Consider the following 17,188-nt stretch of genomic DNA (forward strand, 5'->3'; position numbering starts at 1 on the left):
TTGCTGAGAATCATGGTTTCCAGCTTCATCCATGTCCCTGCAAAGGACATGAACTCATCCTTTTTTATGGCTGCATAGTATTCCATGGTGTATATGTGCTACATTTTTTTAATCTAGTGTGTCATTGATGGACATTTGGGTTGGTCCCAAATCCCTGCTATTGTGAAGAGTGCCGCAATAAACTTAAGTGTGCATGTGTCTTTATAGTAGAATGATTTATAATCCTTTGGGTATATACCCACAAATGGGATTGCTGGGTCAAATGGTATTTCTAGTTCTAGATCCATGAGGAATGTCTTCACTGTCTTCCACAATGGTTTAACCAATTTACACTCCCACCAACAGTGTATTTCTCCACATCCTCCCCAGCATCTGTTGTTTCCTGACTTTTGAATGACTGCCATTCTAACTGGCCTGAGATGGTATCCCATTGTGGATTTGATATGCATTTCTCTAATGACCAGTGATGATGAGCATTTTTTCATGTGTCTGTTGGCTGCATAAATATCTTCTTTTGAGAAATGTCTGTTCATATTCTTCACCCACTTTTTGATGGAATTGTTTGCTTTTTTCCTGTAAATTTGTTTGTTTAAGTTCTTTGTAGGTTCTGGATATTAACCGTTTGTCAGATGGACAGATTGCAAAAATTTTCTGCCATTCTGTAGGTTGCCTGTTCACTCTGATGATAGTTTCTTTTGCTGGGCAGAAGCACTTTAGTTTAATTAGATCCCATTTGTCGTCACTGCTTTTGGTGTGTTAGTCATGAAGTCTTTGCCCATGCCTATGTCCTGAATGGCATTGCCTAAGTAAGTTTTCTTCTAGGGTTTTTACAGTTTTAGGTTTTATGTTTAAGTCTTTAATCCATCTTGAGTTAGTTTTTGTATAAGGTGTAAGGAAGGGATCCAGGTTCAGCTTTCTGCGTATGGCTAGCCAGTTTTCCCAACACCATTTATTAAATAGGGAATCCTTTCCCCATTGCTTGTTTTTGTCAAGTTTGTGAAAGTTCAGATGGTTGTAGATATCTAGTGTTATTGCTGAGGCCTCTGTTCTGTTCCATTGGTCTATAGATCAGTTTTGGTACCAGGACTATGCTGTTTTGGTTACTGTAGCCTTGTATTATAGTTTGAAATCAGGTAGCGTGATGCCTCCAGCTTTGTTCTTTTTGCTTAGGATTGTCTTGGTTATGTGGGCTCTTTTTTGGTTCCATATGAAATTTAAAGTAGTTTTTTCCAGTTGTGTGAAGAATGTCAATAGTAGCTTGATGGAGATATCATTGAATCTATAAATTACTTTGGGCAGTATGGCCATTTTCATATTTTTTAATACTCATAAAAGTGTGTGGACTTTTAATCCAAAGGATATACTAAGTAGCTGATATGGTTTGGCTGTGTCCCCACCCAAACCTCATCTTGAATTGTAACCCCCATAATTCCCATGTATTGTGGGAGGGACCCAGTGGGAGATAGTTAAATCATGGGGGCAGTTTCCCCCATGCTGTTCTCAGGGTAGTGAACAAGTCTGACAAGATCTGATGGTTTTATAAGGGGGAAACCCCTTTCACTTGGTTCTCTCCTTCTCTCTTGCCTGCCACCACATAAGATGCGCCTTTTGCCTTCTGCCATGATGGTGAGGCCTCCCCAGCCTCGTGGAAGTGTGAATACATTAATTGTCTTTTTCTTTATAAATTACCCAGTCTCGGGTATGTCTTTGTCGGCAATGTAAAAATGAACCAATACAGTAGCTAATCAGCACAGTGAACAATATATAATTATTGTCTATAATTAGATTTGAAGTCTCCATGAAACATATTACCTATGTTCAATACCTACTTTGCTAAATCTTCTAACTTGGAAAATGCTTTATTCTAAATCATGGACTCACCACTTTGAGAGACAGTGATCGTATGGCTCTGACATGCATGGAGAAAGTTTCAGAAAAAGAAAAAAAACGGATCTTGAATTTGAGCAAAGAAATAGCTCTCTCCAGCTGTTTCTTGTTTCCACTGATATATAGCTTATGATTGTCTGAAGGGTATCCCTAAATTGACAGGAGTAGGAGAGAATATTCTGCTTTCTCTCTCTTTGCCCTCCCTCATCTAAATTCCATTTGTTTTGTACTAGGACTCCTGTGATAGTCCCCTATCTGGCCTCCTGGTGGCCGATTTTTGTCCTCCTGTCATTGACTTTACATATTCCTAGAGTGAACTTTTAAGAAACGCAAATCAAATAATCTTGCTACACTGCTCAAAACACTCTGATGTCATCCCCCACACTTCAATTGGATCCTGATGTCTTTCCATGGCCCAAAGGCCCTACCTACAAGATCTGGCCTATCTCTCTAACATCATTTCCTGTAATTCTTCCTCTTGCTCCAGTTCTTGCATTTTCTCAAAAATAGCAAAAGCACTATGGCCTCATAGTATTTTTACTATTTCCTCAAACCGAAATACTTTTCTCCAGAGATTTAATGAGTGGGGGGAGATATTAACTGGGTGGTTGTGAAATATGGATGGGAGGTAGCTTTCCACTTTTTTGATGCTTTTTAAATTTCTGAACCATAAGACTACTGCACACTACAATTAAGCCAGAAAAAGAATTCATATATCATAAGTATATATATTTTAGGTCAATTTGGATGCAAACAAATTTGCTCCAATTCTCCAAAGGTCACCTCCTTGGAAATAACTTTTCTAAACACTCTATTAAAATAATGCTAATCTTTCTTCTCTCATTAACAGTTATACTTTTCTCTATAGTAAAAATCCATTTGTAATGTTACATTTGTATTCATTCATTGTTTGTTTCTTCTACTTACAATAAGATCCATGAGGATAGGGCCTGTCTTTGGTTCATCCATATAGAATAGGGCATGGAATTGTGAAGTGCATGAATTACATGATGCCTTTTCTTCACCTTGAACACATCTCTCCCCTCTAAGTTACAAACCCACCTCCCAACAAAGCCCAGTTCATCTGTTTTCTCTTCCATATACCATTCCCTGACGCCCCAAGATAGAAAAACCCTTTTTTTAAAAAGATTTTTTTAACTATACTTTAATTTCTGGGGTATGTGTGCAGAATATGCAGGTTTGTTACATAGGTATTCATGTGCCATGGTGGTTTGCTGCACCAATCAACGCATCATCTACTTAGGTATTTGTCCTAATGCTATCCCTCCCCTAGCCCCCCCATGCCAGAGAGGACCCAGATGTGATATTCCCCTCCCTGTGTCCATGTATTCTCATTGTTCAACTCCCAATTAGGAGTACATGTGGTGTTTGGTTTTCTGTTCTTGTGTTAGTTTGCTGAGAATGATGGTTTCCAGCATCATCCATGTCCCCGCAAAGGACATGAACTCATCCTTTTTATGACTGCACAGTATTCCGTGGTGTATATGTGCCATATTTTGTTTATCGAGTCATTCATTGATGGGCATTTGGGTTGGTTCCGAGTCCCTGCTATTGTGAACAGTGCCACAGTAAACATACGTGTGCATGTATCTTTATAGTAGAATGATTTATAATCTTTTGGGTATAATCACAGTAACGGGATTGATGGGTCAAATGGTATTCCTGGTTCTAGATCCTTGAGGAATCTCCGCACTGTCTTCCACAATGGTTGAACTAATTTACACTCCCACCAACAGTGTAAAAGCATTCCTATTTCTCCACATCCTCACCAGCATCTGTTGTTTCCTGACTTTTTAATGATCACCATTCTAACTGGCGTGAGATGGTATCTCATTGTGGTTTTGATTTGCATTTCTCTAATGACCAATGATGAAGAGCTTTTTTTCATGTGTTTGTTGGCTGCATAAATATCTTCTTTGGACAAGTGTCTGTTCATATCCTTTGCCCACTTTTTGATGGTTTTTTTTTCTTGTAACTTTAAGTTCTTTTTAGATTCTGGATATTAGCCCTTTGTCAGATGGGTACATTGCAGAAATTTTCTCTCATTCTGCAGGTTGCCTATTCACTCTGATGATAGTTTCTTTTGCTCTGAAGAAGCTCTTTAGTTTAATTAGATCCTATTTGTCAATACTGGCTTCTGTTGCCATTGCTTTTGGTGTTTTAATCGTGAAGTCTTTGCCCGTGCCTATGTCAAGAATGGCATTGCCTAAGTTTTCTTCTAGGGTTTTACGGTTTAGGTATTATGTTTAAGTTTTTAATCCATCTTGAGTTAGTTTTCATATAAGGTGTAAGGAAGGGATCCAGTTTCAGCTTTCTGCATATGGCTAGCCAGTTTTCCCAACACCATTTATTAAATAGGGAATCCTTTTCCCATTGCTTGTTTTTGTCAGGTTTGTCAAAGTTCAGATGGTCGTAGATGTATGGTGTTATTTCTGAGGCCGCTGTTCTGTTTTGGTACCAGTACCATGCTGTTTTGGTTACTGTAGCCTTGTAGTAAAGTTTGAAGACATGTAGCATGATGCCTGCAGCTTTGTTCTTTTTGCTTAGGATTGTCTTGGCTATGCAGGCTCTTTTTTGCTTCCATATGAAGTTTAAAGTAGTTTTTTCCAATTCTGTGAAGAATGTCAATGGCAGCTTGATGGGGATAGCATTGAATCTATAAATTACTTTGGGTAGTATGGCCATTTTCACGATAATGTTTCTTCTTATCCATGAGCATGGAATGTTTTTCCATTTGTTTGTGTCCTCTCTTATTTCCCTGAGCAGTGGCTTGTAGTTCTCCTTGAAGAGGTGCTTCACATCCCTTGTAAGTTTTATTCCTACGTATTTCATTCTCTTTGTAGCACTTGTGAGTGGGAGTTGACTCATGATTTGACTCCCTGTTTGTCTGTTATTGGTGTATAATTATGCTTGTGATTTTTGCACATTGATTTTGTAACCTGAGACTTTGCTGAAGTTGCTTATCAGCTTAAGGAGATTTTGGGTTGAGATGATGGGGTTTTCTAAATATACAATCATGTCATCTGCAAACAGAGACAATTTGCCTTCCTGTATTCTTAATTGAAAACTCTTTATTTCTTTCTTTTTCCTGACTGCCCTAGCCAGATCTTCCAATACTATGTTGAATGGGGTGGGAAGAGAGGGCATCCTTGTCTTGTGCCAGTTTTCAAAGGGAATGCTTCCAGTTTTTGCCCATTCCTTATGACATTTGCTGTGGGTTTGCCATAAATTGCTCATATTATTTTGAGATACATCCCATCAATATGTAGTTTATTGAGAGTTTTTAGCATGAAGGGGTGTTGAATTTTGTTGAAGGCCTTTCCTGCATCTATTGAGATAAACAGAACCAATGACAAAAACCACGGTTATGTGATTGATTGATTACATATATTGATTTGGATATGTTGAACCAGCCTTGCATCCCAGGGATGAAGCCAACTTGATCGTGGTGGATAAGCTTTTTGTTGTGCTGCTGGATTCGGTTTGCCAGTATTGTATGAGGATTTTCGAATCGATGTTCATCAGGGATGTTGGCCTAAAATTTTCTTTTTTTGTTGTGTCTCTGCCAGGTTTTGGTATCAGGATGATGCTGGACTCATAAAGTGAGTTAGGGAGGATTCCCTCTTTTTCTATTGATTGGAATAGTTTCAAGAGGGATGGTACCAGCTCTTCTTTGTACCTCTGGTAGAATTCAGCTTTGTATCTGTCTGGTCCAGAACTTTTTTTGGTTGGTAGGCTATTAATTATTGCCTCAATTTCAGAACTTGTTATTGGTTCATTTAGGTATTCGACTTCTTCCTGGTTTAGTCTTGGGAAGGTGTATGTGTCCAGGAATTTATCCATTTCTTCTAGATTTTCTAATTTATTTGTTTAGAGGTGTTTATATTATTCTCTAGTAGTTTGTATTACTGTGGGATCGGTGGTGATATCCCCTTCATCATTTTTTATTGCATCTATTTGATTCTTCTCTCTTTCCTTCTTTATTAGTCTGGCTAGCGGTCTATTTTGTTGATCTTTTCAAAAAACCACCTCCTGGATTCATTGATTTTTTGAAGAGTTTTTTTGTGTATCTCCTTCAGTTCTGCTCTGATCATAGTCATTTCTTGTCTTCTGCTAGCTTTTGAATTTGTTTGTTCTTGCTTCTCTGGTTCTTTTAATTGTGATGTTAGGGTGTTGATTTTAGATCTTTCCTGCTTTCTCTTGTGGGCATTTAGTGCTATAAATTTCCCTCTACACAGTGCTTTATGTGTGTCCCAGAGATTCTGGTATGTTGTGTCTTTGTTCTCATTGGTTTCAAAGAACATCTTTCTTTCTGCCTTCACTTCGTGATTTACCCAGTAGTCATTCAGGAGCAGGTTGTTCAGTTTCCATATGGTTGTGTGATTTTGAGTGAGTTTCTTAATCCTGAGTTCTAATTTGATTGCACTGTGGTCTGAGAGACTGTGATGGTTTCCATACTTTTGCATTTGCTGAGGAGTGTTTTACTTCCAATTATGTGGTCATTGTTAGAATAAGTGAAATGTGCTAAGAAGAATGTATAGTCTGTTGATTTGGGGTGGAGAGTTCTGTAGATGTTTCTTAGGTCTCCTTTGTCCAGAGCTGAGTTCATGTCCTGGATATCCTTGTTAATTTTCTGTCTTGTTGATCTGACTAATATTGACAGTGGGGTGTTAAAGTCTCTCACTATTACTGTGTGGGAGTCTAGGTCTCTTTGTAGGTCTCTAAGGACTTGCTTTATGAATCTGGGTGCTCCTGTTTTGGGTGCATATATATTTAGGATACTTAGATCTTCTTGTTTCATTAATCTCTTTACCATTATGTAATGCCCTTCTTTGTCTCTTTTGATCTCTGTTAGTTTAAAGTCTGTTTTATCAGAGACTAGGATTGCAACCCCTGCTTTTTTATTTGACTCTCCCATTGCAGTTTTTTATTTTAAATATCTTATTCTGCTGATCACTTAAAGTGGTATTTTATAGCCATCTTCACACCTTACTTTCCCTGCTAAATACATCCTCCTCAAAGATAGAATCATATTGAATTTTTAGTAATTCCTACCATGTTTAACCCTGTAGATACACCTTCTACATAACACAAATAGTTATTCAGTAAATGAATACATTATAAAACAAATGAATGGCTGCATTTATCAACAGTATTCAAAGTTAAAAAGCATGATTACAGCTTGTGTTTATTGATGTCAGATGTTGAAATATATTACCCCATAGTTACTTCTGTGTTAAGTGACAGGAAAGCAAAGAGAAAGAAATGAATTTGTTCTATTTTTTTAAGATTTGTTTTTCTGATGTGAAAGCAAGAAGTGCACAAAACTAAGCAAACAACAACAAAAACCCAAGGCAATACATTTTGGGGGTATGGATGTTGGGTCTCATTTCTTCTTGCTTGTGATACACTTGTGGCTCTCTTCTCCCCAGGGAATGAGAGATGATTCCTTTTATTGGTTGAGTGGAAGAGGAAGTGGGCTTGTGTAGTTCAGTCCCTTTTCCTTACACCTTTTCAGGAGCTAGCATGTGTGCAGAGGAAAGGCATCCTCAAGCTCTGAAAATGCCAAAAGTATTCTAGGGGCAAACTCTGAGACTGTGGTGTTTAAGTCTACAGGCTGGGAGTTGAGTTCACCTTGAAGAAATATTAAAAGCTGGTGTTTTGGATAACAAACCTTGAGACATAACACAATTAAGGAGGGGGATATGAAAATCTAATGGAGATGTGGAGAAGAGGGCTCATGTGGGATTGATCAGATGACTGTAAGAGTAAGTAAGGATTGCAGGTGACAGCCTTAGAATCAAGCATGAGCTATGGAGGCCTCATCAATGGAGTAAACCTTGAAGTACTCAAGCCTTATGATGAGTGGCTTGCTTCAGCATAGCCATAATGGTGTTCTCTGGTTCTCCCATCCATTTAGGGGCTGCTTTAGATTGTATTCGGCTATATTACAGTGCTTAAAATTCCATAAGTTTCTGAGATCCAAACCATAGCTCCACCCATATAAAAAGTCATTTTTTATAATAGATAAATTGATTCATATGGAGTACTTAGAGAAAATGATATTGGCTTGAGATAGAGGTATAAGTCATAAGATTAAAGGGGCTGCTATATATTGATTCTTTCCAACATAGCATTCCTGCACCTACCTAGATTTGTGCAGCATGGATGAACTTGAGCATATCTTTTTCTGTTCTGCCAAGGCAGTGACGCTGTTCACTTTCCGACTTCTAAAATTGATATGGCTCTTCAATATTGTCTTATAAACCATATAATCCACTGGTTCTGAAACTCTTCCCTGATCTCAATCACATCCCTGAGCTCTTAAGTCACAGTCCAGTGTCTTTCCTCTACCAAGAATTCACTTATCCTTCTGTCACCTGTTGAAATCCGGCCCGGGACTCACAAAACAAAAAATTGTTTTTGGTCAGGTGCGGTGGCTCACGCCTGTAATCCTTGCACTTTGGGAGGCTGAGGCGGGAGGATCACGAGGTCAGGAGTTCCAGACAAGCCTGACCAACATGGCGACACCCTGTCTCTTCTAAAAGTACAAATATTAGCCAGGAATGGTGGCAGGTGCCTGTAATCCCACCTACTAGGGAGGCTGAGGCAGGACAATCGCTTGAACCCAGGGGGTGGAGGTTGCAGTGACCCAAGGTCATGCCAATGTACTCCATCCTGGGCGACAAGAGCGAGACTCTGTCTCAAAAAAAAATGCTTTATTAATTATTTTTCTTTGATCTTGTGGTATATATGCTGTTATTGTATTACATGTGCCATTATACCACTTACAGTATTCTCCATACAATTACAATTCATGTTGGTTTCCAGACTGAGTCTGAAATACTTTACAATACTATGCCTGAAATGACTATGAATTTTCAGCAGTGCAGAATTTCACATACAATTTCATTCTTCTACATTTCATCCATCATTTCATCCATCATTTTAGATACCTCAATACCATGACTGATACTAAGTAGTTTAAAAACTATCTAAGGATAAGGACTTTATATCCCTCTATATTGTTTAGTAAATGATAAATCTGTGGTACAGTCAATGTAGCAAAATATATATATTTATATGATTTTATATTTCTTCATAGGAAAAATACATGCTGTTTTAAGTGCTGTGCCTTTCTGTACTTTTATTTTGTTACTATAAAAAAAAACCACAGATGAAAACCTGTGGCTATGATTTATTTACAGCACAATACTCATTTGACAATGAAGTTATAATATGTAATTGAATCAAAGGACTCTGCTGATACCATGAATAAATGAATAAAAGAACATATGTAAATGATTCTTATATGGGGCAAAATAGATATTAATAATAATCAATATTTATTATGAGCAATTTGAATGAAAGTTACCATTATCAAAGCAACTCTTTAAAAAGAATGCAAGATGTTTAAGAAAGACTTCCGTCCTACTGTGTTAGACAAAGTATTGTAGTCTACAACTGTAGTGGAAAGAAATCCTGATATTAATATATTATATTAATATATTTTCAAAATATTATACATTAGATTAATATATTATATATTAATATATTTTCAAATAATATATTATATTTTATTAATTTATATTAATATATTAATATATTTTCAAAATATTATACATTAGATTGCTAGATCACTTATGGTATAATATCTGCTAACACTCTAATATGGTCCTACCAGTAAATCTGTTTTTAAAAAGGAAGTAAATGTATAATTACAATTCATCTTGAATTAATAACTGAGATAAAAAAGGAATATTCCCCTTTTGCCTGTATTAAATTATGACCTCATCATTATATCTGAAGAGGACTGAAATACTCCAGAACATGCCTCTCAACTTATCCTTTCATTCTTTTTCTTCTCAATTTGACCTTTGTGGGCTCATAATTTAAAAACGATAAATAACACAAGAAGAAAATAAAACACCTAGGGAATGTATTGGTAGGAAAAGCAATACAACAGATTTACACTGTCAAGAACTTTCAAAATTGTAGTAAAAATATATAGACTAGCATATAAATCATGTATGAGCATTTAAAATAACTAAGGTAGAATTAAAAATGAACTGGCATGAAAGCATCTGCCAAGATGTCCAGGTTTGAAAAAAAAAGATGAGACTGCTAGACATTAAAAACATAATCACTAAAATTAAAAGCTCAATGTATGGATAAAATATGAGATTAGATAGTGGGGAGAACCCTGAAAATATAGACCTGAATAAGTCAGTGGCATGAGGCACAGTAAGAGAAAGAAACTGGGAAGGAGAGGGTAAGAGATGTGGAAGGTGTGAAAATGCAAAGTTATGTCTTCAGAGTTTCAGAAAAAGACCATAGAAAATTGGGAAAAGACCATGGAAAATTGGGGAGAGGTTATCTGAGGTTATCTGAAGAAATAATGGGAATTTCCAGAATTGGTAAAAATGTGATTCTGCAGATAACAATAATCATGTATACTTATCACTTTATAGTGGAAAAATAGAACATCAATGACAAAGTATTATTTAAAGCAGACAGCAGGAGAAAAAATAAATGATGTCTGCAGGAGTAGCAACAAGATTTAAAGGAAATTCTTGGGGAATAAAGGTAATATAGAAGAAAAATACTAATGTATACATCCTATTCCAGGAAATATCATTCCTAAACAGTAAAACTTTTGTTTTCCTTTTAGATAAATAAAGGCACTCTTTCTATGGAAACAAACAACCAAAGTGCTTTCTGGAAGAACTTTCTGAATATCAAGATATAACAAGAATTAAAAAAAAAAAAAGGACTGTCGTTATTCTTCTCAAATTATATGCATATGGTTCCAGGGGAAGCATAAAGAAGTGCTTTGTGGAAAAGTTTAAATTACACAAATATGTACTTTTGTTTGTTTGTTTGTTTGTTTTGAGACGGAGTCTCGCTCTGTCGCCCCAGGCTGGAGTGCAGTGGTATGAAGCAAGCTCCGCCTCCCATGGGTTCGTGAATGGGAGTGAATGGGTTGACGACATTCTCCTGCCTCAGCCTCCCAAGTAGCTGGGACTACAGGTGCCTGCCACTATGCTTGGCTAACTTTATATATATATATATATATATATATATAATTTTTTTTTTTTTTAGTAGAGATGGGGTTTCACCGTGTTAGCCAGGATGTTCTTGATCTCCTGACCTCGTGATCTGCCTGCCTTGGCCTCCCAAATATATACTTCTTGAATATGAGATATGGTAACCTAATATTACTTTCCTAAGTTACAACTCCATTTATTTTCTACTGAAAGATATTCCTTCACAAGTCAATTATAAATAGGACATCTAAATACTTGTGTTTTCAAAGTGGGCAGTATAGGGCGAGGGTCCAACTTTCTGGGACTCACCTCCCCTTCTGTAGATTGCAGATGGAGCTCCTTCCTGCAGGTGGCCTTGAAGTCTCCTGCAGCAGCACTCACCTGGACCCCACGGGGAGCTTCCATGATCAAGGATCTGGTGGGTGATTCAAGCCTAAGGGAAAAACAAAAAATCATTAATAGGAAAAAAAAACACAAAAAAATCATTAATAGAAAAAAGAAAATTTTTGATAAACTAGAAGACAACATTGGTCAAAACAACAACCAGACAGACAGGCATAAAGGAAAAGTCCTACCATTTTAGGCAAAGCCAGAATGAGTTTCAGAACAATTTTTGATTGACGTATCTATTTTTGGCTCTTTATAAAAATCTACATTTATTCACATCGAGTATTTACTCTCACTTTCATGACAATTTGCTTATGGTTTCTTTTGTTGTTTCCCCTCAGAATGCTCATGAAAAGTAGGGTGTGATAAGTATACTTGCTAAAATTTTTAATAACTTACCAGTATATAACTTACTAGTATTAATGATGGAGGTTTAATAAAAAATTTACAGTTTAGGATGTAGATATATGTATTCCTCAATAAAGAGTCCCTGTCTTGTAAACATGAATGCTTTAATGAAAATTGTTAATATTGCACACTTTCAGGCATGTGCAAAATATTATGAACTTGACACCTCTAGAAACTGATTAAAATAATGAAATAAGACATTTTCTACATCAACTAATTCTGTTGGCCCCGTGAAATGTCCACAGAATGAGTGACATCAGTCTGTGAAAGAAAAATCAATAGGAGGGTAATATACAAGTACAAATGCGATTGAAGGTTGGCTACATAAATTAGGAGGGCAAGAAACAAGTGTTTTAGACAGTCAGAGTTGGGAGGCAGTTTTCAAACTATCTTCAAATATAACACTAGAGAAAAAGCAAAAATGACACACAACACAGGAACTAGAATACAGTGGTAAAAAGTGCTAGGATGAGAAGAGGTAGGATCCATGCACTGGTCTTTTTAGATCAGCTTTCTGCCTTGGGGATGCACCTGCCTGTGATCGCCCTACCACAGGACTTTAAGAGGAGGGTCCCCTCGGGCTCACATTCACTGTTATCCAGCACAACTGGTTTTGTTTTTGTTTTCTGAGGCAATGAATTCAGAGTTGTTTTGCAGAAAGAACCACCTCAAATGGTTAGGTCTCTGGAGTTCAGCTCCCTCTCAGCAAGAAAGTGAAACCTAAAAGCTTAAAAGTGATATGGAAGGAGTAGAGCCAGCATTGAGAAGTGGTTTCAACACTTCCATTTTCTTTTTTTTTCACTCACCAAAGCAACTTAAAAATTTTAATCCCTATGGGCCATTTGGAGATCTAGCTTCATATAATCCCTGGAGGGGTGAGGTTTTGAATGTGTCTATTTTTAAGAAACGTCTGTATTTTTTTTATTAAAACTCCCCATATTTTCCATAGAATATTTGAAAACTTGAAGACAATCACTCACAATCCTACTGCTTAATAAAATTTACTATTAGCATTTTACGCACAGTATCTAAATGTCAAAATTTGAATGTTAAAATGTATTTTTTATCACTGATTTTCCCTGATACACAACCCTTCTAGAACTACGCAGACTCTTAGCAACACAGTATCAACAATTAAATGTTGTCCCACTTCTCTCTTGTATGGAAAGTCTCCTGTCCACTGAGGAGGGTTTCACAGACTTACTTACATTATAGTAGAGGTTTTCAATTAAACTATTCATGTTATTATAAAATATCGTCTAAAAAGCCTGTTGAAAAAGGAAACCCAAGTTTATTGGTACTACTTGTGGATTTCTATGTAATTAGTCAGTGAAATTAGTGAATTATAATTGTATTCATTTTTATAATTGTATTCATTTGGAAAGCACTACAGCAAATATAGCAGTAAGTTTCAGACTGGCTTTCACAGTGGGTACCTGGGATTATGGCAGAGAGAAGGATAGTCCCTCTACCACCTGGTTTTTCAAAGCATTCTGTTTTTTTATGGTGTTTATGTATCAAAGTTGCAACAAGATACAGTTTTTAAGGTGTTATGCAACTATCAAATTAAAAAAAAAATCTGTGGCCTAAATCTCTAGAATTCTCAACATTCAGAAAAAAGAAGAATTCAGACTTTAAAACAACCTAAGTTGCAAGAGGCAATTATTAAATATTAAGCAGAACTTAAGCATCAGGAGAAACAGAAAGAAAGAGAGGGAAAAGGAAAGGAAAGAAAGCAAATACCCTACTTTATCATTATGTTCTTCTCATAGGTAGAAGAACACCAGCCAAGCAATTTACCCCTTTATTGAGGAAATGTCTCAGACAAAATCCTGACTGCTTAATAGAGTTTTTTTCCTTGAATATATTAATGATGTGTATTTATTAATGATGTGTATTAGAGCTATGTGTTTCTAGAGATTAACTTGGAGCCTGCAAACCTTAATATTTCTGTGTTAAGCTGTATTTTTGCAACAATGAGAATTATGAAAAGATGCCAATTATATGATTAATCTGCACTTGGATTCTGTAAAATGAATTAACATTTATTTTCTTATTCAGTAGTTAATGGATCTCAGATCCAAAAAAAATCTTTAGGAAATGAGCACTGTATAATTAGTTTCATCACTTTTTACCATAGGTACAGAAACTCTTCAAACTGTAGTAACTTAACTATATATTAATGTAAGAAATAAAAACAAACATTAGGCTGTTCTGGGCAAATTTACTGTTATGTCTTTGTTAACTATTTAACATGTTTTTTTTAGCCTTTTAAAATATAGACTCCTAGTACAAAACAGTATCATCTTATCTAAGAAAAATTCAAAGAAAATCCACAGTTTTAAAATGCACATGGAAACTAGCACAGAACTTGAGAAATACTAGACACTCACTCATCAAACAGCTGCTGAATAAATAAGTTATAGAAATCCACTACATTTCTTCACCAAAATATTAATACTCTATTAATAAACTTTTGAAATGTATTTCTTTTCTAAAGTCTTTTTGTTCTTCACAATAACAAAACCAAAGAAAATGTGGCTACTTACTCCCTAAATTAACATTTTATTGACTTGGCCAACCAATGAAACCGTGTTGATTAGAAGTAGGCATCAACCAACAAACAGTACTTACCTCTCTGAAAGGAAAATTGTCAGCAAGGCTTGTAAAGTTTTTCTCAGACACCCTGCTTTTAATTTTCATTATACAAATAAATAATTGAATACCTACATAATTACTCTACTTTTCTTCTGTTTCAGTTTGGAAATTTAGTAACACTTATCTTGGGGGTTGCCAGTCTGCTTTTAGAACCAGCTGATAAATCCAGCTTAGTGCAATGTTTACATAATGATGAATAATTAGAAAATGAAAACCAGAAACACCATACACTAGATGTAATATCATTCGCATTTTCACTTATGAATTGTGAAATATGTCAGCAAGATAATTAAAATACCAGTTGGTTCTTATTCCTCTTTTAACAAGACTTTCCACAGTAAAAATTATAAAATGAGCATATAGTTACCAAAACGTTAGAAATAAAAAAAAGTTCTTTAAGTATAAATTTAAGTAAATTTAAAAATACTTCTATAAATGTATTTTAAGTTTATTGAATAAATTGGTAAACAGCTGTGTCTATATTAAAACACAGATGAAAAAAATTGGAATCAATGCTCTTCACATGTTCCTTTGTAATAACTGCAGCCACTTTCCTTATATCCCATTCATTTAGTTAATGTCCTCATTTTTCAGCTTTGCTAAGTTTCAGTAATTCACATTAACAAATACTTATTGCAACTAGGATGTGGTAAGATAACAGTGCTGGCTGCTACAGCATTAAGGATAAACAAGGCAGATGTGTATCCTGTTCTAATGGAATTTACAGTTTGTTAGGAGAAGAAAGATACAATAAATATTTTCACAAAAGTTGTTGAATTCCTGCCTGAAAAAAGAGCCATAAATGAAGACCGTAGCATCCTATGAGATGCTGTTTACACACACTCCTCAGCACTGCTGAATCCCTAGGGTTTCTATATAGAGTAGGTAATTATCATGTTGCTCTTCTAAAATAAGTCTTAGTCCTTGAAGAAGGCCACTTTTTTTCCTAATAAATATTGTTCCCTAGCTTGTTTGAATCTGTGTTACTCAAGTAGTGAGAAACTGAGTTGTTTAGGAAATTTTATCATAGGACTCTGACTAAAAAATTTACTGTTGTAAAGTATGGTTTCGTTGCCTTAAAGATTTTCAACTTTATTTATTTTTTGTTTCCATCTGAGTACATATACACTCATCCAATGTGAAGGGCTAAACAGCAATCCTTATGAAATAAAAAGGTTTTGTAACTTAATGTTTTTATTTTGCTTCCCAAGACACCAACTGTGTCTCTCAGGTTGATACTATGATCCAACTTTAAAAGTGACTTTTAGTATGTGACTAGTTTTTATCAGCACTATGTGCATCTTTCCTTTTCCTATACAATAGTAAGTGCATTTCAGAATGTAATTTAGCTATCATAAATTAATTATTATTAAACCATAAGTAATCACCAAATCTTACGTATTGAATTAAGAACAGGCTAGGCGCGGTGGCTCACGCCTGTAATCCCAGCACTTTGGGAGGCCGAGGAGGGCGGATCAGAAGGTCAGGAGATAGAGACTATCCGGAGCAACATGGTGAAACCCCGTCTCTACTAAAAATACAAAAAATTAACCGGGCACAATGGCGGGCGCCTGTAGTCCTAGCTACTCGAGAGGCTGAGGCAGGAGAATGGCGTGAACCTGCGAGGCGGAGCTTGAGGTGAGTCGAGATAGCACCGCTGCACTCCAGCCTGGGTGACAGAACGAGACTCCATCTCAAAAATAAAAATAAAAAAATAAATAAAAAAAAAAAACATCCACTGAGCAGTTTTGTATTAGGGATCTAGATTTTATTATTTTGAATGTAATCAACAGTGGTAATAATTATCCTGGGAAGAATTCCCTATAATGTTGGAATTTTCCTGGGTAGTGAGAGCTTTTACATATAAATGCCTCCTAGAACCATCACACTGTCAGGACATAGCTTATTCCATTGGAAATATTAGACTGAGGAACCCCATCATAGTCCAGTTAAGTTCTGCCTTTGTCTGATTTGCTTCCATATTACCCTCTATATAATACTCCGTGGTCATTTATAGCTTTCTCAGCGCCCTATTTGCCCTGTCTTTATTCCTATATACACCACACATTTCATTATATATGTCGGATTTTCCAGCATTCCTTTTTTTGTTTTTGTATTGTGTTTTGTTTTGTTTTTACAGATGGGGTCTTGCTGTGTTGCCCAGGCTGGAGCACAGCGGCATGATCATATCTCACTGCAGCCACGACCTCCTGGGCTCAAGCAATCCTCTGGTCTCAGCCTCCTGACTAACTTGGACTACACATGTGCACCACCATGCTCGGCTAATTTGTTTTTATTTTCTATTTTTCGTAGAGACAGGGTCTCACTATGTTGCCAGGTCTTGAACTTCTGATCTCAAGTGATCCTCCTACCTTGGCCTCCCAAAGTGCTGGGGTTACAGGTGTGAGCCACCGTGCCCGGCCTCAGGATCCCTGTTTTTATTAGTTCTTCTCACTTACTGTATAACTGCCTTTGCCTTTTCTTTTTTTTTCCACATTCTTCCTATCTAATATATTCATTTTTGTATTTATTTTAAGTATATTGGGAGAAACATTTGTCTAGTTGTCTATTTTAGTTCTTCATATATTAAGGATTATCAACAATGATGGATTTTATGCCACAGGTATAAGAGGAAGCCCTTACCTGAGATCTTGGGATGGCTCTGCTCTGATGTGCGGCGTCTCCACAGAGTGCCCAAATACGGCTCCTTCAGTGCCTGGGGGTAGCATGAATATAGCAGTCAGTATAAGCAAGTCCACACAGTGGCTTTCATCTCTATG

At 36.3% G+C, this 17,188-nt stretch overlaps 1 protein-coding gene across 4 annotated transcripts in view; it reads right to left on the bottom strand.

Annotated features, from left to right (window-relative positions):
• SGCZ (sarcoglycan zeta) overlaps nucleotides 1-17,188 on the bottom strand; it is a 1,153,587-nt gene that overhangs the window by 6,267 nt on the left and 1,130,132 nt on the right. For all 4 annotated transcript variants that reach the window (NM_001322881.2, NM_001322879.2, NM_001322880.2 and 1 more), the window contains 2 exons: nucleotides 17,052-17,124; nucleotides 11,265-11,388 (listed from right to left, as the gene is read on the bottom strand). In NM_001322881.2, coding sequence (NP_001309810.1) covers nucleotides 11,265-11,388; nucleotides 17,052-17,124 — 197 coding nt within the window. The remainder of the gene's footprint in view (nucleotides 1-11,264; nucleotides 11,389-17,051; nucleotides 17,125-17,188) is intronic.

Source organism: Homo sapiens, chromosome 8, assembly GCF_000001405.40.
Source record: "Homo sapiens chromosome 8, GRCh38.p14 Primary Assembly".
NCBI classification, from domain to species: Eukaryota; Metazoa; Chordata; class Mammalia; order Primates; family Hominidae; genus Homo; species Homo sapiens.